General features: G+C 43.6%; 1 long non-coding RNA gene across 1 annotated transcript in view, besides 1 other annotated feature; it reads right to left on the bottom strand.

The window, feature by feature from the left end:
• NIFK-AS1 (NIFK antisense RNA 1) overlaps positions 1-23,946 on the bottom strand; it is a 78,907-nt gene that overhangs the window by 30,296 nt on the left and 24,665 nt on the right. The gene's annotated exons all lie outside the window — the stretch shown is intronic.
• Positions 17,705-18,207: an enhancer, noted in NCBI's record as "OCT4-NANOG hESC enhancer chr2:122437634-122438136 (GRCh37/hg19 assembly coordinates)". NCBI's record gives its function as "activates a minimal SCP1, AML or CMV promoter by ChIP-STARR-seq in naive and primed H9 embryonic stem cells {active_cell/tissue: H9 hESC(naive and primed)}" and the evidence as "EXISTENCE:reporter gene assay evidence [ECO:0000049][PMID:30033119]".

The following is a 23,946-nucleotide window of genomic DNA, read 5'->3' as shown; positions in this document are numbered from 1 at the left end:
TTGTATTTTTAGTAGAGACGGGGTTTCATCATGTTGGCTAGGCTGGTCTCGAACTCCTGACCTCAGGTGATCCATCCACCTTGGCCTCCCAAAGTGCTGGGATTACAGGCGTGAGCCACCGAGCCTAGCCTCGTTGGTCTATTTTTTTGTTTCGAAACGGAGTTTTGCTCTTGTTGCCCAGGCTGGAGTGCAATGGCATGATCTCGGCTCACTGCAACCTCCGCCTGCCGGGTTCAAGCAATTCTCGTGCCTCAGCCTCCCGAGTAGCTGAAGTACAGGCATGCACCACTACACCCAGCTAATTTTGCATTTTTTGTAGAGACAGGGTTTCTCCATGTTGGTCAGGCTGGTCTCGAACTCCCGACCTCAGGTGATCCACCCGCCTCAGCCTCCCAAAGTGCTGGGATTATGATCTATTTTTTAAAAGGACTTTTGGATAGGAAATTAACACACAGAGCTTTAAAACCCACCCACTACAGAACAGGATAGGGTGCCTCTTGTTTCCTGGTGGCCCGAAGGCAGGGCCTCCTTTGGGCCTTTCTCCCCTGCCCTCTCCCTGTCCACAGTCTTCTGTCTTTCCCTCAGCAGTGTCCTTCCTGTTGGTCTTCCTCTCTGTTCCCGCTGCCCAGCTCTGGTTTCTGCTCTAATACCTCCTCATCCTCAGGTGTTCCCACCCAGACTCTGCCTCCTAGAAGCTGGACTACAAGTGCTGCCAGGGAAGCTGCCTAAGGTTCAGCCCCTGCCCTACCAGCCCTTAGCCTCTGAGGCTGCCCTCCAGCTTGTCCCAGCTGACCATGACTGACGTGTGTCCCCCTGCACCGGATGGACTTCCTTGCCAAACTGCTTGGAGAGCCCTTCTTTCTCCCAAGAGTCAGCAGGAGTTCTCCTTCCTTAGAAAGGTCCCTGAACTCTTCCTGCCAGCCCTACCTGAATTTCTTTCTCTCCTTTGTGCTCCTACAACAGTGACCCTATTCTGACTCGTGCTCTGTAGCCACTTGGCTACTTTCCAGTCTCTTCTAAGATAAGCAAACTCCTGGAAGGAAAAAACAAGGCCCATTTACCTTTGAGTGTCCCCAGGGCTAGCCAGTGCCCTGCCTAGAGGAAGCCACAGTCAGCAAGTGTGGAATCTGGAAAGCTCTCGGAGGAATCTTTGCCAGGCCCAGGTGCAGAGACTGGACTGGGGGTTGTTATTTAGCTTATCGGAGCCTCCATTTCCTCAGACTGGGAAAATGGTTTTTCCTCACAGGCTGGCAGAGAGAATGCAACCAGTGTAAATTAAAGACAGTATTTGATAAATGTGGGTCCCCCTAGGTGGGAGCAGGACTGTTTGTTAGGTGTCAAGGGTCTGTGAAACAATCCCCTCCCTAGGGCAAGTGGCTGGTGCAGTGCTCGTCCAGAATCATTGAAGGCAGGGAAGCCTGGCTTGGGAGAGAGAGGTCCATCCTCCAGCAGGAAAGGAGAGGGGCGTGCGTGCTTCCGTGGTGTCCCGTCCACAGATGCTCAAGGCCCCTGTGCATTTGGGCTTAGGAACAGGGTCACATGCAGAGGTCTGCACTGAAGGTGCAGTCAGCCAAGTTTCATCCTTGCTTCCCAGCCCCAGCTGTTCCTCTTCCCTCTGTCCCAGCCATTTCCTTGGGCTCTTCCTATGGGCTGAGGGCAGGGGGCAGCAGCAGCAGCCACACCAAGGGAGGCTTGACACTGAACACGGGGTGCGTGTGCATTTAGCCCTTGAGTGCCAGTACCATAATGTGGTCTTGGCCCTGGGGGCACAGATTCAATGTCTCAATGTGGAAAGGTTCTTCTGATGTGCCCTCTCAACAGGGCAACCAGAGAGGCCTCAGTTCCAACTGGAAGGCCATTCCTTTACCCTTTCACCCACTCATTAACAAATGTTTATTAAGCATCATTAACAAATGTTTATTAAGCATCTAGATGGGTCAGGCCCTGTTCTATGGGGCACAGCCTGCTTCTAAACAGACTAACAAGCAGTCCTGCTGTTAGCCCCATCCTGCCCTCCCCTGTGCCTGTTCCTTCCCACTGGACTCCTCGACTTCCAGGCCCTGCAGCAGCCATAAGGAACAGCTTTCTCTTCCCTGCCACTCCCCCACCACAGACAGAGTCTTGCTCTATTGCCCAGGCTGGAGTGCAGTGGTACAATCTCGGCTCACTACATCCTCCACCTCCTGGCTTCAAGCAATTCTCCTGCCTTAGCCTCCCAAGTAGCTGGGATTACAGGTGCACGCCACAACACCCAGCTAATTTTTGTATTTTTAGTAGAGATGGGGTTTCACCATGTTGGCTGGGCTGGTCTCGAACTCCTGACCTTGTGATCCACCTGCCTCAGTCTCCCAAAGTGCTGGGATTACAGGCGTGAGCCACAGCGCCTGGCCAGCGGCAGCTTTCTCTGTGTAGTGCTAGTTCTCTGTGCCTTACTTTTTGGCTTCCTCTACTTTGTGGACATCTCCAAGCTATTGTCATCTTCTTTCTCCTATTTCTTTGTCTTTTGGATTTATGCCTGCTTTAATACTTTTGTTAACATTAGTGATGTTTCAAGTAGGAAGAAGAAATAAATTCTGATGTTTCATCTGCCATATTTAACTAGAATTTCCTTCCAATTGAGTTTTCACTTAAAGTATTTTTACAATGATTTATGGAGTCTGGATGTTTTCAATTTGAAAATGGTAGTTGTTTATTTTAGAAATTTACAAATAATATACCAGTATAAAGAAGAATATAAAGATGACTCATCATCTCAGAAATTCAGAAATAACCCCTCTTAACATTTATATATATATATATACACACACACACACACACACATATATATATATATACCCATATAGATACACATTAGTTAAAGGGAATTAAATAACCTCTTTCTGTTTGCTTAAGTTTGATGCTGACTTTTGGATGCTGCCAGCTTTGTAGAAGCCTTTTGCTGTGGGAGGCACTTGCCAAGCCTTGCTGCGACAGAGGAGTATCCTTTGTCATGCTGACATTGGTGCCTCTCACCTTCCCTCAGGCCTGCCTCTCTCCCCTAGTGAGCCTCGGCCTAGACTGCCCACTTCCACTGGAGATGTTCATCATCAAGTCATTTACAGATCAAAACCACAGTTCTTACCTGCAGTGCCGGAAGGAGGGTAAGAAACAGAATCTGGGTGTGCCCTCCCCAGCTCTGTCATCCCTAGGAATATTCTCCCAGGTTGTGACAGAGCCCGGAAAAAAGCCATTTGCGATGACCTCACTGTACCCGACTTCTACCAGAGTCCCTGGCCTTTTTCTGGCCCTTGGTGATCCCTGATGGGGAATTGTCAGTGGGGGAAAGGTGATTTGTTTCATTTAATCTGCCAAATGCAAATGACCAACATTTTGGGTCTTAGCCAATTTTGAGGTTTTGGATTCAGAATATGTTCTGTTGGGGCTCGGGACACACCATCCCAAAATATGACACCACCTCAGAAAATCTTCCACCCCAATAAATTGCAGATATTTTCAAAAAATAATTACAAGAGACAGAGACTTATATTGCCAGTGGGCATGTATACTAGCAAATGCTTTTGGGAAGTAATTTTTTAAATCTTTTTTTTTTTTTTTTAAATAACAGAGGCAGGTTCTTGCTATGTTGCCCAGGCAGCTCTCAAACTGCTGGACTCCCAAAGTGCTGGGATTATAGTCATGAGTCACCGTGCCCTGCTGGAAAGTCATTTTTAAAGTGTCAAGAACCTTAAAAATGTTTGTACTTTTTGATCTTTGTTCTGGGACTCTAGCCTAAGGAAATAATTCTAAGTACAATAAAAGCTTTCTGTACCAAAATACCAATTGCAATATTATTAATAATGTAAAAAATGATACTAAAACACTCAACTATAGGAGAATAGTACTGTGAAATAGTACTGTAATCATGAAAAACTCATTATAATAAAGCCAAATGATTATTGTTGAAATAAATGAAAACAACTAAACTCAGTATTTAATATAGAGTTCGATGATGGCTGTGTTAAAACTAGAGTAATGTATGGCTGGGCGTGGTGGCTCATGCCTGTAATCCCAGCACTTTGGGAGGCCAAGGCTGGAGGATCACCTGAGGTTGGAAGTTCGAGACCAGCCTGACCAACATGGAGAAACCCTGTCTCTATTAAAAATACAAAAAATTAGCCAGGCGTGGTGGCGCATACCTGTAATCCCAGCTACTCGGGAGGCTGAGGCAGGAGAATCACTTGAACCTGGGAGGTGGAGGTTGCAGTGGCCTGAGATCATGCCATTGCACTCCACACTCCAGCCTGGGCAACAAGAGTGAAACTCCATCTCAAAAACAAAAAAAAAAAACAAAAAAAAAAAAACAAGAGTAATGTATACAGTGAGACATTTTAATACTAGTTATCTTTGGATAATGAGACAGAGAAAATTTTATTTTTTTCTACTTTGTTTGTTTGGTTGAGACGGAGTTTCACTCTTGTTGCCCAGGCTGGAGTGCAATCGTGGCTTACCACAACCTCCGCCTCCCAGGTTCAAGCGATTCTCCTGCCTCAGCCTCCCTAGTAGCTGGGATTACAGGTGCCCGCCATCACACCCAGCTAATTTTTTGTATTTTTAGTAGAGATGGGGTTTCACTATGTTGGCCAGGCTGGTCTCGAACTCCTGACCTCAGGCAATCCACCCGCCTCAGCCCTGCAAAGTGCTGGGATTACAGGCATGAGCCACCGTACCTGACTACTTTCTTTTTAATAACACAAATTTTGTTCATAAATAAGACTTCGGCTGGGCAGAGTGACTCACGTCTGTAATCCCAGCACTTTGGGAGGCCGAGGCAGGCGGATCACCTGAGGTCAGGAGTTTGAAACCAGCCTGGCCAACATAGTGGAACAGCCTGACCAGCATCGTGAAACCCCATCTCTACTAAAAATACAAAAATTCACCAGTCGTGGTGGCAGGTACCTTTAGTCCCAGCTACTCGGGAGGCTGAGGCAGGAGAATCGCTTGAACCCAGGAGGCAAAGGTTGCAGTGAGCCGAGATTGCGCCACCGCACTCCAGCCTGGGTGACAGAATGAGATTCCATCTCTAAATAAATAAATAAATAAATAAATAAATAAATAAATCAGACTTCATAAAATTAAATGCAGGGTTGGTTCCTGTTTTAAAAGGGGAATAGTAGGCTGGGAGCCGTGGCTCACGCCAGCACTTTGGGAGGCTGAGGCTGAGGCAGGCAGATCACCTGAGGTCAGGAGTTTGAGACCAGCCTGGCCAACATGGTGAAACCCCGTCTCTGCTAAAAATACAAAAATTAGCCAGGCGTGGTGGTGCGCACCTGTAATCCCACTACTCAGGAGGCTGAGGCAGGAGAATCGCTTAAACCCAGGAGGCAGAGGTTGCAGTGAGCTGAGATTGTACCACTGCACTCCAGCCTGGGCAAAGAGCGAGACTCCGTCTCAAAAAATAAAAAAATTAGCCTAGAATAGTGGCGTGTGCCTGTAATCCCAGCTACCCGGGAGGTTGAGGCAGGAGAATCGCTTGAACCCAGGAGGCAGTGGTTGCAGTGAGCTGAGATTGTGCCACTGCACTCCAGCCTGGGTGACAGAGCAAGACTCCGTCTCAAAAAACAAAAAGAGAATAGTAGAAGGCAACATGCCATTTTATTTAAAATTGCAAATTAGGTTTTTTAGATGGATGACAGTTGAGATCATTAAATCCCATTTCTGCCTCTCAGATTTCCACAAAATAGTATATTAAATACTCAGTCCTAAGAAATGGCAGAGTTTCCAAATTGCCTCTCAACACCAGAGGGAATGGCCCAGGTTCTTCCCTTACGATAAAGGTACATCATTTGATAAACAAAGGAGTGTAGCATTAAGACTCTTACAAGGTTGTATTGCAGAAGTTACTTCCGTGTCTTCACTCACAATGTGTATTCCCACCTTTATTTCCCATTCAGTAACACTGCCAGTTTCATCATCTCTCCTTTCAACTTCATTGAAAAGAGGATGCTGACTGGAATTTGGCTTAATAGTATCCACCACAGCCAGGTGCCTACAGTCCCCGCTACACAGGAGGGTGAGGAGAGAGATTTCCTTGAACCCAGGAGTTCGAGACCAGCCTGAACAAAACAGGGAGACTCCACCTTTGCAGACAACACACAACAGAGGCATTTCAGATGGGACAGTAGAGTTTCCTGAGATACACTTGATTTTTAGTTTTAAGCAGAGGAATTTTCCTGGAGAGTTTCAGTTACAATACCATACTCATGAGGATGGTAAAAAAAAAACCTCATAGTAAACATTCAGCAAAACATAGGTTATAGGGCAGTCATCTCCTTTAACACTTTATTGGGGTTTGTATATGAATTCTGAAATATTGTAGGCCTAATCCTGGTACAGAACCAAAACTGGGTGCGTTGTACTTGAACAGCTGACAAGTCCCCAGTACGGGTCCGTATAAAGTAATGGAGAAGAAACAGCCCTCTTAATCCCAGAAAAGTCTTTATTTGCCCTGATTGAAAACCAAATCTCATTCAAGAAACTTTTTCTACTGTTCTATAGTTTACAAATAATCTTATTACTTTTATAATTGGAAAAACAACAATAAACCCACTGTTCAAGGGAAACAGCCAGTTGTACTTTCCATTAGTCAGTGCTACTGTTTGGAACACAGATTTTTCCTAGAAATGGAATTAATATGAGCTTATCTTCTGCAATCATTTATTTGATTTAAGAGGAAACTGAGGTTTGAAGAAAGGCAATGTCTCCAAACCAATCCTGCCTCCTGGCCCTCTGGCCCTCACTCCACACTGTCTTGGAGCATGACTGTGGCACAGTGTGGCACCTACCAGGCACTTCATAGCATCTCAGTGAGTTACAGAGGATTGGGCTCAAGGAAGCTGATCCTGGGAGTGATGGGTATCCTACATTCTTGTGGAGAGGAGGGAGCTGGAGTTGGGAATATGCTGTGTGATGTGGTTCAGATGTGTGTCCCCTCCAAATCTCATGTTGAAATGTGATTCCCTCCCATGGGGCATATACTCAAAGGAATATAAATCATTCTACTATAAAGACACATGGCTAGGCATTGTGGCTCACACCTGTAATCCCAGCACTTTGGGAGGCTGAGGCAGGCAGATCATGAGGCTGGGAGTTTGAGACCAGCCTGGACAACATGGCAAAACCCCTTCTCTACTAAAAATACAAAAAATTAGCCGAGTATGGTGGCGTGCGCTTGTAATCCCAGCTACTCGGGAGGCTGAGGCAGGAGAATTGCTTGAACCTGGGAGGCGGAGTTTGCAGTGAGCTGAGATCTTGCCACTGCACTCCAGCCTGGGCGACAGAGCGAGACTCTGACTCAAAAAAAAAGACAAATGCACATGTATGTTTATTGCAGCAGTATTTACAATAGCAAAGACTTGGAACCAACTCAAATGTCCATCAATAATAGACTGAATAAAGAAAATGTGGCAAATATACAACATGGAATACTATGCAGCCATAAAAAAGAATGAGTTCATGTCCTTTGCAGGGATATGGATGAAACTGGAAGCCATTATCCTCAGCAAACTAACACAGGAACAGAAAACCAAACACCACATGTTCTCACTCATAAGTGGGAGTTGAACAATGAGAACACATGGACACAGGGACAGGAATGTCACGCACCAGGGTCTATGGGGGAGGAGTAAGGGGAGGGAGAGCTTTAGGGCAAATACCTAATGCATGTGGGGCTTAAAACCTAGATGACAGGTTGATAGGTGCAGCAGACCACCATGGCACATGTATACCTATGTAACAAACCTGCATGTTCTGCACATGTATCCCAGAACTTAAAGTACAAAATTAAAAAACAAAGAAAAAGAAATGCGATTCCCAGTGTTGGAGGTGGGGCCTGGTGGGAGGTGTCTGGGTCTTGGGGGCGGATCCCTCATGAATGGCTTGGTGTCCTCCCCGTGGTGATGAGTGAGTACTTACTCTGTTAGTTCACATGAGAGCTGGCTGTTTAAGGAAGGCTGGCTCCTCCTCCCTCCTTTGCTCTCTCTTGCACTCTCTCTCTCCCTGTCTCTGTCTCTCTGTCCCACTCTTACCATGTGACACACCTGCTCCTCCTTCACCTTCCGCCATGATTGAAAGCTCCCTGAGCCTTCACCAGGAGCAGATGCCAGCGCCATGCTTCCTGGCGCCTACTAAACTGTGAGCCAAATTAAACCTCTTTTCTGTATAAATTACCCAGCCTCAGGTATTTCTTTATAGCAACGCAAAAATAGACTAACACAGAAATGGGGCATCACCTGAACTACAAGGCCCTCTGAGCTGGCTATTGCTTCCTCCTCAGCAACAAGTCAGGCCACAAGGTTCCTAGTAACTGCCTGTAACCCGGCCTTTTTCCTCACCCTGGCCTTCCTTCTATCAAGGTACCTGCATTAACCGGGCTTCCTGCTTGGAATGACATCTCCACCCACAGAGCTCTGCCTCCAGTTAATTCATGCTCAGCCTCAGGCCTCAACTCCATATCCCTTCCTTGAGGAAGTCTCCCCTGACCCCTATACCAGGTTAGACCTTTTTTTTTTTTTTGCTTTTCCTTCATTGACAGTTCACCACTATAATTAAGTAACCATCTCCCTATTGTGCGTTAATGTCTGTTTCTTCCTCCAGACCACAGGAACCTTATGGGATTGTTTACCCGGTATCCCTGGCAACAAGCTGATCCTGGCAGATAGGGAGCGTGCAAAGCACATTAGATGAATAAATAAATGAAAATTATTGATTCTTCCAGCTCCACCAGGGGGCAGGGGCTGTAGCCTTCTTTCCCTGTCTGCTCCCTGGATCTGCTCCCATGGTGCTGGAGAAAGCAAGTGTAGCATTGCTTGTTTATTTATGCTTCCATTTGTTCAATAGATATCTACTGAGAGCCCGCTATGTGCCATTTTGGAGTCAGTGGTGAACATAGCATCAAAATCCTGCCCTCACAAGATTACTTTATTTTTTTTGAGATGGAGTCTCACTCTGTCGCCCAGGCTGGAGTGCAGTGGTGCGATCTCAGCTCACTGCAACCTCTGTCTCCCGGGTTCTAGCAATTCTCCTGCATCAGTCTCCTGAGTAGCTGTGACTACAGGCTTGTGCCACCATGCCAGACTAATTTTTTTGTATTTTTAGTGGAGATAGGGTTTCACCACATTGGTCAGGCTGGTATTGAATTCCTGACCTCAAATGATCCACGTGCCTCAGCCTCCCAAAGTACTGGGATTACAGGTGTTAGCCACCATGACCGCCACAAGATTACATTCTATACTGAAGGAGACAGACACTAAGCAAATAAACAGGAAACTATGCTGTATGCTGGTGCTAGGGCCAGAACAATTTATGAGAGAAGTGGAGGTGGGGGAGCCATACTAAATAAAATGGTTGGAAAAGGCCTTCTTGATAAAATATAATTGAGGAAAGACAAAGGATATAGCAATATGATGAAAGGGCATGTCAGATAAAATTCAGATGTCCAGATAATTTTGAATTTTATTTTATTTTATTTATTATTATTTATTTATTTTTTGAGACTGAGTCTCACTCTGTCACCCAGGCTGGAGTACAGTGGCATGATCTTGGCTCACTGCAACCTCTGCCTCCCGGGTTCAAGCGATTCTCCTGCCTCAGCCTCCTGAGTAGCTGGGACCACAGGCATGCGCCACCACACTGGGCTAATTTTTGTATTTTTTTAGTAGAGAAGGGGTTTCACCATGTTGGTCAGGCTGGTCTTGAACTCCAGACCTCAGGTGATCTGCCTGCCTCGCTCGGCGTCCCAAAGTGCTAGGGATTACAGGCATAAGCTACCATGTCCAGCCAAAATTTTTTCAAATTCTAATGTTTTTAATTCACAAATTGCAATTCATATTGCCACGGAGGAAACAAAATTGTAACTAATGAAGAATTCTAAGAGCTGTTTTTTGTTGTTGTTTTTTTTTGAGATGGAGTCTCAGTCACCCAGTCTGGAGTGCAGTGGTGCGATCTCGGCTCACTGCAACCTCCACCTCCTGGGTTCAAACAATTCTCCTGTCTCAGCCTCCCGAGTAGCTGGGATTACAGGCACCCATCATGATGCCCGGCTAATTTTTGTATTTTTGTAGAGACACGGTTTCAACATGTTGGCCAGGCTGGTCTTGAACTCCTGACCTTAGGTGATCTGCCCGCCTCGGCCTCTCAATGTGCTGGGATTACAGGCATGAGCCACTGTGCCAGGCCAAGAGCTGTTAAAAGTAGTACCTGATCTTTGGCTTTTGGGGTACCAGGAATTACTTTTTACTATGAGAGAGAACTTGACTTTTGCGTGTGCAGTGGCTGACGAGTCACTGGCAAAACCTGGAAAGTGGCTGACAGGGTTGTAGTGAATGATTATTATTGCAATGGGCTATTTGTTCTTTACGCACTTAGATTAAAAGGCAGGTTTGAACACCTGGAGGTTGTGGGAACATTCACTACCAATGGTTAAGACTCTGATGGAAGATGAGCTGATCACAGAGTGGGCTGATTTGCATTGGGTTGCCCACTAGCCTCAGGGGAATGTCTTTACAGAAAGGTGTGCTGTGGAAGCACTGTGTGGCCTGGTCTCATGGGGTTCCTGTCTTTGGGAACCCAAGATTAAATGTAAATGTGGGATACTGGCAGGCACAAGTGGAAGCCAGCACAACTAATGATGCAGAATTTTTTGTTCCTTGGTTCAGCTAAATCCAGAAAAATTAGGCACGCAGAAACATTGAAAGGTGAGGATGGTGCCAGGTGCGGTGGCTCACACTTGTAATCTCAGCATTTTGGGAGGCTGAGGTGGGCAGATACTTGAGGTCAGGAGTTTAAGACCAGCCTGGGCAAATTAGTGAAACCCCATCTCTACTAAAAATACAAAAAATTAGCCAGGCATGGTGGTACATGCCTGTAGTCCCAGCTACTCAGGAGGCTGAGGCAGGAGAATCACTTGAACCTGGGAGGCAGAGTTTTGCAGTGAGCCAAGAGCATGCCATTGCACTCCTGCATGGGCAACAGAGCAGGACTCAGTCTCAAAAAAAAGAAAAGAAAGGTGAGGAGGGCGGAATTTATTAAGCAAAAGGAGGGTCCTATATGCAGGTATCCACCTCACAAATTGAATACAAGGCCATCACATGCAAGTTGAAAAGGCGTGGCTCCTCTCCAGCATTAGGCATGAATTCCTGGTGGCTCCACCCCATTCTTCCAGTGTGCATGCTGGCCCTTAGTCTTAAGGAAGGAGACCACTACTACTCCTGCTGCCCTCCTCCCCCCACCTTGCCTAGTTCACAAGACAGGAGGAGATAAAAAGCAAAAAGTTGGAAAAAAACAAAAGTAAGATAAATAGCCAGACAACCTTGGCACCACCACCTGGCCCTAGGAGTTAAAAAAAGTAATAATAGTAACATCAACCCCTGACCTAAACTACCTGTGTTATCTGTAAATTCCAGACACTGTATGAAAAAAGCGCTGTAAAACTTTTTGTTCTGTTAGCTGATGCATGTAGCCTCCAGTCACATTTCCCACGCTTGCTCGATTTATCACGACCCTTTCACATGGACCCCTTAAAGTTGTAAGCCTTTAAAAAGGCCAAGAATTTCTTTTTCGGAGAGCTCGGCTCTTAAGACATGAGTCTGCTGATGCTCCCGGCCGAATAAAAACCTCTTCCTTCTTTAATTCGGTGTCTGAGGAGTTTCGTCTGTGGCTCGTCCTGCTACATTTCTTGGTTCCCTGACCGGGAAATGAGGTGATTAACTGACGGTCGAGGTAGCCCCTTAGGCAGCTTATGCATGCTCTGTAGAGCATCCCTGTGGGGGACTCCGGCTTGAGCAATGCGGATCCTGAGAGTGCTCCCGGGTAGGCATTTGCCCCAGTGGAACGCCTTGCCAGAGCAGCGCGTGGCAGGCCCCGGTGGAGGATCAACGCAGTGGCTGAACACCGGGAAGGAACAGGCACTTGGAGTCCGGACATCTGAAACTTGGTAAGACTGGTCTTTGGAACTTGCCCACTCCGTTTGAGTGGAAGCGTGGCCTGATCACCCACAGCGTGTCTGTACTGGCACTTTGGTTTTTGTTTTTGACTTGACTTGAATTGCTTGATACTTTGGTTTTAACCTTGATTTTGACTTGACTTGAATTGCTTGATAAACAGGCATGCCTTTATTGGTACTTTGGTTTTGGTTCTGATTTTGACTTGGCATAAATTGCTTGACGAACAGGTGTGCCTTTAACAACACTTTGGTTTTAGTTTTGATTTTGATTTAGTGTGAATTAGACGAGTGAGTGACCTTTTACCCTTTCCTTCTTGTAGTGTGAATTTTTTTTGTTTCAAGAGAAAAATAGGTCAGACACAAAGTAAGCCCACTCCGCTAGGAACTATGTTAAAAAATTTCAAAAAGAAAAATAAAAGGAAAGTCATCAAAGCATCAAAACTTACTCTATTAAAATGCATGTTACAGAACCTTAGGAAAGGTTCTGTGGGAGATTATAGAGTTAAGTTAACCCCCTAGAGGTTAAGAACTCTGTGTGAATTAGAATTGCCCTCTTTTGGTGTTAGATGGCCCACCGAAGGAACTATAGACAGGGAACTATTGGCCATGTATTTAAGGTGGTGACAGGGGTCAGAGGGCAGCCAGTGTACCTAGATCAAATTCCTTTATATTGACTCATGGTTAAATATAATATAGGCAAAACCAGCATAAATTTAGCCCTGTTGAACAGCTTATTGCAAAAAAGCCAAAAGTAAAAGAGCAGCTTCGCCGGCAGACAGAGTTAAAAAGGGAGTCCCAGAAACAGCAAGAGAAGCCAGTTTTGCGGGAGCCGCCAGAGATAACAGAAATTCTTTCTCCATATATCCCAGCCTACCCCGCTTTACTGAGGCCAACAACCCCCTCAGAAATGAGATTCAGGAGCTAACACGCTCCAGGTTTTACCTTGAAGGGGAGGATCGGAGCTTCGAGAGACCAAGGAAGGAAATCAAGATAGTCAAGTGGGCCATCTCAGATCTGAGAGGCTATGCAAATGCCTCTCAGGGAGACACGAGGACCTGTCTATTATAATGACCAGGCCCACATCCGGGGGGTTGGGGGGGACAACAGACTTTCATCTATCAGCCCTTTTCAACCATTGATCTACTAAACTGGAAACACCCTGAACCCACCACCTTGCTCCCGGCAGCTAAAGCCCTGTCGAGCATAACTGTGTAGAGGTGTTGGACTCAAATTTACTCTAGCAGACCTAACCTCCAGGACCAGCCTTGGGCATCAATAGACTGGGAGCTATACGTGGACGGGAACAGCTTCATCAACCCCCAAGGAGAGAGAGGTGCAGAATATGCGGTGGTAACCCTGGACACTGTTGTTAAGCTGAGCTCATTGCTTTAATTCGGGCCTTAGAACTCAGTGAAGGTAAGACTTGTAAACATTTACACTGACTCTGGGTATGCCTGTTTAACCCTCCAAGTGCATAAAAAATTGTATAAAGAAAAGAGCCTGTTAAACTCTAGAAAAAAGGGAAAAAAAGACCCAGAGAATGCAATTCAGCTTCAGCATTTGCAGAGGTACTGAGAAGCACTTCTGCAGAGTCTAAAAGTTGGTAGAAAAAAGCAAGTAATATAAAAAAGATTTCAGAAATCCTTCAAGGAGCTGACAAGAGCCTAAGTCAGTTTTATAAGAGACTCTATAAAGCATTCTGGCTTTATACCCCACTTAACCCTGAGGCTGCTGAAAATCAGTATGCACTGAATATTTTATTTGTAAAGCAAGCCCAGGGTAACATCAAGCAGAAGCTGCAGGCATGAATACCACCTAGTCTATAAAAGTGGCCACCAAGGTGTATGTTAACTGTGACCAAGGAACAAAACTGGGAAAGAGCAAAGGAAAAAGAAACACTAAGAGTAAGTGTGAAAAAGAGAATCAGAAGAAAACAGGAGAGACAGACAGCAGTGCGCGGGGGCAAGGCCCGTGCCGTTGCCCAGCCCCGCCAGCTGGCCGTAGGAGCAGGAGAACTCAGAAAAAAAAAAAAAAAAAAAAAAAAGTAAATTAAAGACTTAAGAAAAAAAAGCCAATCTGTTAGCAACAGCTCTCATAAAAAGAAAAATTAGCACCGTGAGAGGACATGGATGTGGATGTAGATGTGAAAGAAGTCAAGTTAGGCAAGGATTCAAGAGCCGGATGAGGCTAGAGATTAATGTGCGAGATGCAAAAAGAAAGGACACTAGAAAGGTAAATGTTCAGAAGGCAATAAAGGAAATGGCCACTCTGCATTGATTTATTTCTCTTACTGTGCATGTGTTAAGGGATGGAATTTTCCACTGTGGGCATGTTTAGGCAAGCTCCCTATATATAATGACATAGATGGCATTTGCCTGTCTCCTGCCTCTATCACTAGGGGAAGTTAGCTAGTTGTGCTGGCTTCTACTCGTGTCTGCTTTCCACATATTAAAAAAAATTTTTTTTAAGGTCGGGTGTGGTGGCTCATGCCTGTAATCCCAGCACTTTGGGAGGCCGAGGTGAGAGGATTGCCTGAGCTCAGGAGTTCGAGACCAGGCTGGGCAACATGATGAAAACCTGTCTCTACAAAAAAATACGAAAATTAGCTGGGCAGGGTGGTGCACGCCTGTAGTCCCAGCTACTCATGAAGCTGAGGTGGGAGGATTGGCTGAGAGGTTGAGGGAGTGGAGATAGCACCAATGCACTCCAGCCCAGGCAACAGAGAGAGACCCCATTTCAAAAAAAAAAATTTTTTTTAATAAGATGGGGTTTTACTATTTTGCCCATGCTGGTCTCAAACTCCTGGGCTCACGCGATCCTCCTGTCTCGGCCTCCTGTTAAATATAGTGAACCCTAAGTTTCTCTTCAAAGAATCAGTATGTCAGTATGTCCAGCTCTCTTATTCTTTGATTCTTCATTTTAAAGTTTAACTTCCTAGTTCTCTTCAACTCCTTGCCTCTAGTTTCAGTAAACAACTTTCCCGCCAGTCCAAATCAGTAGTTCACAGCTGTTCCCTTGGTGGTCACCTGCTCTGACCTAAGTCACCTTTAGTTACCTGTTCCTAACTGCCCTTCCCACCAAACTACTCACCTCACCACTCCAGCTCATACTCCTGCTCTTTTTAACATAGCCAATCAGAATTAGCTTAGACTGTGCGGTCCAATCCTAGCCATTAGGGCAACAACACAGCAGTAGGGGCTACTAGCGTCAGGAATAAGAACTCCTGCCCCTCCCCTGTCCTGGTATGATCTCACCATTGTTCCATCTGTGAGGAGCACCCTTTCTGCAGAAAGTAAAAATTGCCTTGCTGAGAAAATTAAATGTATGTTTGAGTGCTATTTCTTTGCAGCACCAGGGAACAAGCATTTTGCATTTCTAACAGTTTGGTGGCCCATGCAGGGACCCACTCTCCTCTGGGCGGTCTCCAGTCCTCTCTTGTAAGGAGGTGCCCCGCCGCCTCATTTCGGCAGCCTCAGGGGTGAGGAACCGAGACCTACCTGGTGTGATGAATAAACCCAGACTCTCAGCAATGTGGAAAGAAACTGGCCGGTGACCTGGGGTAAAGGATCCTTACATACCACGTGGACCAGACAACATCACGCACAAGCCAAAGAAGGAAACAGCGGAGGAGCTGGTAAAGTATTCCTTTGGTGGTAGGGACTAAGGAAAGAAAAACTGCAGGGGCAGTGAAACATTCCTTGGTTGGGACATACCAAGGAAAAAGAAGCCGTAGGGGTGGTAAAGCATTCCTTAGCCGGGACTAAGGAAAGAAAAACCACAGGGGGCAGTGAAGTATTCCTTGGTCGGGGTATCTTGGGGATTAAAAAGAGGCAAGATATTTCCGGTAAGGGAAATCGAGCCTCGCCCCAAAAGGTGAGACATTTCCAGTGAGGGAAATTGAGCCTCACCCCAAAAGGTGAGACATTTCCAGTAGGGGAAATTGAGCCTCACCCTAAAAGGCAAGACATTTCCAGTGAGGGAAATTGAGCCTCACCCCAAAAGGTGAGACATTGCCAGTAAGGGAAATTGAGCCTCCCTCCAAAAGGTGAGATATTTCTGGTAAGGGAAATTGAGCCTCACCCCAAAAATGGGAAATACCCCAAGTAAGGTACAGGATAAAAGAAATAAAGCTAGCAACAATAATATTCCCCCAATAATCCCCCAGGACTAATGTTAAAATATTAGAAGGATAAAAAAAAAAAAACTTAAGAGAGTCAGAGAGAGAAAGAGACAGAGAGTCAGAGAGAGAGAGAGAGAGAGAGAGAGAGCTAGAAGTAGTAAAGAGAAAGCAATGTACCCTATTCCTTTAAAAGCCAGGGTAAATGTAAAACCTATAATTGAAAGTCTTCTCCGTGACCCTATAAAACTCCAATACTGCCTGTAAAGAAGCCAGACGGGTCACACCAGTTAGTGCAAGACCTTAGAGCTATTAATCAAGTCCAAACTACCCACCCTGTTGTTATGGTAATAGATTTAAAAGATGCCTTCTGGGTTTGTCCGTTCACGGAAGACAGCCAGGACCTATTTGCCTTTGAGTGAGAAGACCCTCACTCTGATTGAAAATAGCAATACAGATAGACAGTCTTACCTCAAGGGTTTACGAAGTCTTCAAATTTATTTAGTCAAATATTAGAACAAGTCATTTAATTAGCAAAGGTAAATGGCAAATTGAGCTTGAATGGACTGAAAGTATCATATCCTTGCCTCTGCCGGAGACCAAACAAGAACTTAGAAAACTTTAAGATAAGTCAGATACTGTCATCTATGGATAGCCTCTTATGCCCTAAAAACAAAACCCTTATACAAAAAGCTCACGCAAGATGGGCAAAACCCCCTCCTCATTTGGCAATTACCAGAAATCCAACAGGTGGAAAGGTTAAAACATCTATTAGTAACTGCCCCTGTCCTAGATTTACCCTCAAGTAGCTATTCCATCTTGTTGTCAGTGTAAACAAGGGCATATCCCAAAAGCACGGAGGCCACTGACAACCAGTAGCCTTCCTATCAAAAATCCTTAACCCAGTAACCCGGGGATGGCCCAAATGCATTCAATCTGTAGCAGCAACTGCTTTGCTAACTGAAGAAAGTACAAAAATAACTTTTAGAGGAAACCTCATTGTGAGCACACCTCACCAGGTCAGAACTATCCTAAGTCAAAAAAGCAAAAAGGCAGCTTACTGACTTAAGAATATTAACATATGAGGCCATTCTGTTAGAAAAATATGATTTAACATTAACCACTGATAATTCCCTTAACCCTGCAGGTTTCCTAACAGGGGATCTAAATCTTAATTAACTACCATACAAAGGTCCGACCAGACCTAGGAGGAACTCCCTTCAGGACAGGATGATGGATGGTTTCTCCTGGCTGATTGAGGGAAAAAGACACAACGAGTATTCAGTAATTGATAGGGAAACTCTCGTAGAAATAGAGTTAGGAAAATTGCCTAATAATCAGTCTGCTCAAACGTGTGAGCTCTGCACTCAGCCAAGCCTTAAAGTACTTACAGAACCAGGAAGGAACCATCTATACTAATTCCAAGTTGATTTGGACTAAAGAGGTCTTAGTAATAGCAAAGGATAATTAAAAATCCCAAACTTACATGGTTTTCAACAAAAGTAAAGTTTGCTAAAAGTTAACAGTGTAACATGTATTATCCTAACTTCAAATCTTGTGGCCTTAGGGAAGTGGAGACTGCAGCGAGCCAAAATTGCACCATTGCACCCCAGTCCAGGTAACAGAATGACACCTTGTCTAAAAAAAAACAAACAAAAAACCCACAAAACTCTTAAGATGGGGAAGACATTGGTTTAAAGTTTACATAACAATCCCTGCCTTTGTTTAAGATACTTTTCCTGGCAATCTCACTTCGACTGAATCTTTACCCATATCCTTCTTCATCTCAGCAGAGAATGGTGCTTAGATCTAAGTGCTGTGCCTTTGGGATGTAAATTTTCACTTAAGAGTCATGTCTTTGGAAGTGCAAATTAAGGGTTATGTTGCTAACAGTTGTTTAGGGCTCCATAGTCTAAAGAGGGGAGAGAAACTATTTAAAAACTGGCAAATGGTTTCTGGGTGCGGTGGCTCACGCCTGTAATCCCAGCACTTTGGGAGGCCAAGGTGGGCGGATCATGAGGTTAGGAGTTTGAGACCACCCTGGCCAACATGGCAAAACCCCATCTCTACTAAAAATACAAAAATTAGCCAGGCACAGTGGCAGGCGCCTGTAATCCCAGCTACTCGGGAGGCTGAGGCAGGAGAATCGCTTGAACCCAGGAAGTGGGTGTTGCAGTGAGCTTAGATCACACCACTGCACTCTAGCCTGGGCAACAGAGCAAGACTCCATCTCAAAAAAAAAAAAAAAGAAAAAGAAAACCAAAACCAAAACCAAAACAAAAAAACCCCCTGACAAATGAAGAAGTTTATCAAGCTACAGACTCTGCTTTTGTTTGTATGTCTGTATGTATATATGTTCATATATGCCATGTGGATGTGATATTTCATTACCAAAATACACGAAAACTCTAATTAATTGGGTTAAAGAAAAAGTAAGCACTTAAATTATATATTTTATGAGAAAAATATAAGCTAACTCAAATGCCTTTTAGTTCAAATGATTTGTGTAAATTGTTGGTAAATAAGACTAGTTTAATACTGTTGATTTACTGAAAACAACCGTGTCCTCTGATTAACAAAATACCCGTGTATTTAACTTTAGAGTTCTGGCTAAAGTGTTAAGTTCCTAACATTTGTGGAATGTAAACATGATTACAAAGAAAAAACTGAAGATGATGGTGTAAGCACCCAATGGGTTCACCTTGCCCACTGCCTAGACAGAGCTGATTTCTCAAGACAGGGGAATTGCAATAGAGAAGGAGTAATTCACACAGAGCCAGCTGTGCAGAAACCAGAGTTTTATTACTCAAATCAGTCTCCCCGAGCATTTTGGGAGCAGAATTTTTAAGGACAACCTAGTGGGTGGGGAGAACCCAGTGAGCCAGGAGTGCTGATTGGTCAGGTCAGAGATGAAATCATAGGGAGTTGAAGCTGTCTTCTTGCAGTGAGTCAGTTCATGGGCAGGGGCTACAAGATCAGATGAGCCAGTTTATCAATCTGGGTGGAGCCAGCTGATCCATCAAGTGCAGGGTCTGCAAAATATCTCAAGCACTGATCTTGAGAGAAATTTAGGGAGGGTCATAATCTTTTAGCCTCCAGCTGCATGACTCCTAAATCATAATTTCTAATCTTGTGTCAAATGTTAGTCCTACAAAGACAATCTAGTCCCTAGGCAAGATGGAATGAACAAAGACAGCTTATATGCTAGAGGCAAGATGGTCAGTTAAGTTAGATTTCTTTCACTGTCTCAGTTATAATTTTGCGAAGGCAGTTTCTTTTTTTCTTTTCTTTTCTTTTTTTTTTTTTTTTGAGATGGAGTCTTGCTCTTGTTGCCCAGGCTGGAGTGCAATGATGTGATCTCAGCTCACTGCAACCTCCACCTCCTGGGTTCAAGTGGTTCTCCTGCCTCAGCCTCCCAAGTAGCTGGGATTACAGGCACCCACCACCACACCTGGCTAATTTTTTATATTTTTAGTAGAGAAAGAGTTTTACCATGTTGGCCAGGCTGGTCTCTAACTCCTGACCTCAGGTAATGCACCTGCCTGGGCCTCCTAAAGAGCTGGGATTACAGGCGTGAGCCACTGCTCAGCCCTGCAAAGACAGTTTCAGTAGCTAACTTTGTTTAATGAGCTACTCAAGCATACTTCCTAAGAATAAATAAAACTTTATTTACTTTTTTATGTTTTTTATTATTTACCATAAGGTTTACTTGCAAAAGAGAATAAATAAAAGTTTATAAATGAGCTTTACATTGTTTAAAAAATCTTTTTCAATAACTTAGAGTCATGTTATGTCAACCTGGGTAATAGCTAATCATAAAATGTCTGAGTCATCTATATGATACAGAAAAGCTAAATATTTAGTTCTGTTAAGAAACAAAAAATTGTGGAAACATCTTTCTAAACATTAGAAAATAGTTTTCATCACAAAAACTGACATAAACCATCTCAAATTACTTGCTTCCAAGGTTTTTCTTTTTTGTTTGTTTGTTTGCTGTTGTTTTTCTTTTACAAGCCCAGAACTAACATCATAACTTCCTAGGATTTCCACTGGAAATCAGGGTTAGGCTGGTTCCTTATTTTTGCAATTGCAAATTGTATTGCTATGCACATATGTGTGTAAGTCTGTTTCATACAATGACTTCTTTTCCTTTGGGTAGATACCCATTAGTGGGACTGCTGCATCAAATGGTAATTCTACTTTTAGTTCTCAAAGGATTCTCCATACTGTTTTCCATAGTGTTTGTACTACATTCCCACCAGCAGTGTGAAAGTGTTCCTTTTTCACCACATCCACATCAACATCTATTATATTTTGATATTTAAATTATGGCCATTCTTGCAGGAGTAAGGTGGTATTGCATTGTGGTTTTGATTTGCATTTCCCTGATAATTAGTGATGTTGAGCATTTTTTTCATGTTTGTTGGACATTTGTATATCTTCTTTTGAGAATTGTGTATTCATGTCCTTAGCCCACTTTTTGATGGGATTTTTTTTTTTTGCTGATTTGTTTGAGTTCCTGGTAGATTCTGGGTATTAGTCCTTTGTTGGATGAATAGTCTGTGAAAATTTTCTCCCACTCTGGGGGTTCTCTGTTTACTCTGCTGATTATTTTTATTTTATTTTATTTTTATGTTTATTTTTTTTGAGACAGAGTCTTGCACTCTCGCTCAGGCTGGAGTGCAGTGGCGTGATCTCAGCTCACTGCAAGCTCTGCCTCCAGGGTTCATGCCATTCTCCTGCCTCAGCCTCCCGAGTAGCTGGGACTACAGGCGCCTGCCACCACACCCGGCTAATTTTTTGTATTTTTTAGTAGAGATGGGGTTTCACCATGTTAGCCAGGATGGTCTCAATCTCCTGACCTTGTGATCCACCCACCTTGGCCTCCCAAAGTGCTGGGATTACAGGCATGAGCCACCATGCCTGGCCTTATTTTATTTTATTTTATTTTATTTTTGAGACAGGGTCTCGCTCTGTCGCCCAGGCTGGAGTGCAGTGATGCGATCTCGGCTAACTGCAACCTCTGTCTCCCAGGTTCAAGTGATTCTCCTGCCTCAGCGTCTCAAGTAGCTGGGATTACAGGCATGCACCACCATGCTCAGATAATTTTTGTATTTTTAGTAGAGATGGGGTTTCGCCATGTTGGCCAGGCTGGTCTCGAACTCCTAACCTTAGGTGATCCACCCACCTTGGCCTCCCAAAGTGCTGAGATTATAGGCGTGAGCCACCATGCCCAGCCAAGTCTGCTGATTTTTTTTTCTCTCTGCGGAAGCTTTTTAGTTTAATTCGGTCTCATCTATTTATTTTTGTTTTTGTTGTATTTGCTTTTGGGTTCTTAGTCATTAACTCTACCTTAGCCAATGTCTAGAAGAGTTTTTCCAATATTATATTCTAGAATTTTTATGGTTTCAGGTCTTAGATTCAAGTCTTTGATCCATTTTGAGTTGATTTTTGTATAGGGTGAGACATGAGGATTAAGTTTCATTCTTCTACATGTGACTTGCCAACAATCCCAGCACCATTTGACCATTTGTGGTTAGGGTGCAGCCTTTGTTGAACAGGGTGTCCTTCTCCACTTTATGTTTTTGTTTGCTTTGTCGAAGATCAGTTGGCTTTAAATATTTGGCTTTATTTCTGGGTACTCTATTCTGTTGCATTGATGTACACGCCTATTTTTATACCAGTACCATGCTGTTTTGGTAACTATAGCCTTGTAGTATAGTTTGAAGTCAGGTAATGTGATGCCTCCAGATTTGTTCTTCTCACTTAGTCTCGCTTTGGCTATGTGGGCTCTTTTTTGGTTCCATATTAATTTTAGGATTTTATTTTTATAGTTCTGTGAAAAATAATGATGGTATTTTGACAGGAATTGCACTGAATTTGTAGATTGCTTTTGACTGTATGGTCATTTTCACAATATTGATTCTACCCATCCATGAGCATGAGATGTGTTCCCATTTGTTTGTGTCATCTATGACTTATTTCAGCAGTATTTTGTAGTTTTCCTTGTAGAGATCTTTCACATTCTTGGTTAGGTATATTTCTACGTATTTTATATTATTTTTTACAGCTGTTGTTAAAAGGGTTGAGTTCTTGATTTGATTCTCAGGTTGGTCACTGCTGGTGTATAGCAGTGCTACTTATTTGTGTACATTGATTTTATATCCTGAAACTTTACTGAATTCATTTATCAGGTTTAGGAGCTTTTTGGATGAATCTTTAGGGTTTTCTAGATATACAATCATATCATCGGCAAACAGCAATGGTTTGACTTCCTCTTTACCAATTTGGATGCCCTTTATTTCTTTCTCTTGTCTGATTGCTCTGGCTAGGATTTCCAGTACTATATTGAATAGCAGTGATAAAAATGGGCATCCTTGTCTTGTTCCAGTTCTCAGGGGGAATGCTTTCAACCTTTCCCTGTTCAGTATAATGTTGCCTGAGGGTTTGTCATAGATGGTTATTACCTTGAGGTATGTCCCTTCTATGCTGATTTTGCTTAGGGTTTTAATCATAAAGGGATGCTGGATTTTGTCAAATGCTTTTTCAGCATCTATTGAGATGATCATATGATTTTTGCTTTTAATTCTGTTTATGTGATGTATCACATTTATTGACTTGCATATGTTAAACCATCCCTGCATCCCTAGTATAAAACCCACTTTATCATGATGTGCTATCTTTTCGATATGCTGTTGGTTTTGGTTAGCCAGTATTTTGTTGAGGATTTTCCCATCTATGTTCATCAGGGATATTGGTCTGCATTTTTGTTGTTGTTGTTATGTCTTTTCCTGGTTTGGGTATTAGAGTGATACTGGCTTCATAGAGTTTTTTTTTTTTTTTTTTTTGACGAAGTTTTGCTCGTGTTGCCCAAGCTGGAGTGCAGTGGTGCAATCTTGGCTTACTGCAATCTCTGCCTCCCAGGTTCAAGCAATTCTCCTGCTTCAGCCTCATGAGTAGCTGGGATTACAGGTGCCTGCCACTACGCCCAGCTAATTTTTGAATTTTTAGTAGAGATGGGGTTTCACCACGTTGGCCAGGCTGGTCTTGAACTCCTGACCTCAAGTGATCTGCCTGCTTCAGCCTCCCAAAGTGCTGGGATTATAGGTATGAGCCATTGCACCCGGCTTTCATAGAATTATTTAAGGAGGATTTCCAGTTTATCTTTTGGAATAATTTCATTACGATCAGTACCAATTCTTCTTCAAATGCCTGATAGAATTCATCTGTGAATCCATCTAGTCCTGGACCTTTTTTTTGCTGTTGGCATTTTTTTTTTCATTACTGTTTCAATCTCACTACTTGTTATTGGTCTATTCAGAGTTGCTATTTCTTCCTGATTTAATCTAGGAGGCTTGTATATATCCAGAAATTTATCCATCTCCTCTAGGTTTTCTAGTTTGTGTGTGTAAAGGTGTTCACAGTAGTCTTAAATCATTTTTTATTTCTGTGCTATCAGTAGTAATATCTCCCGTTTCATTTCTAAGTGAAGTTATTTGGATCTTCTCCCTTCTTTTTTTGGTTTATCTCACTAACAGTCTATCATTTTTTTTGAAAGAACTAGCTTTTTGTTTCATTTATATTTTATACATTTTTGTATTGCAATTTCATTTAGTTCTGCTCTGATCCTTGTAATTTTTTTTCCCTCTGCTGGGTTTGGGTTTGGTTTGCTCTTATTTCTCTAGTTACTTGACGTGTGACCTTAGATTGGCTATTTGTGCTTTTTCAGACTTTTTGATATAGGCATTTAATGCTATGAACTTTCCTCTTAGAACCACTTTTGCTATATGCCAGATGTTTTGATAAGTTCTGTCACTATTATCATTCAGTTCAAATAATTCTTTAATTTCCA

This window comes from Homo sapiens, chromosome 2, assembly GCF_000001405.40.
Source record: "Homo sapiens chromosome 2, GRCh38.p14 Primary Assembly".
Classification (NCBI taxonomy): domain Eukaryota; kingdom Metazoa; phylum Chordata; class Mammalia; order Primates; family Hominidae; genus Homo; species Homo sapiens.
Note: the sequence above shows the minus strand (reverse complement) of the source record. Positions and strands in the feature narration are given on the sequence as shown.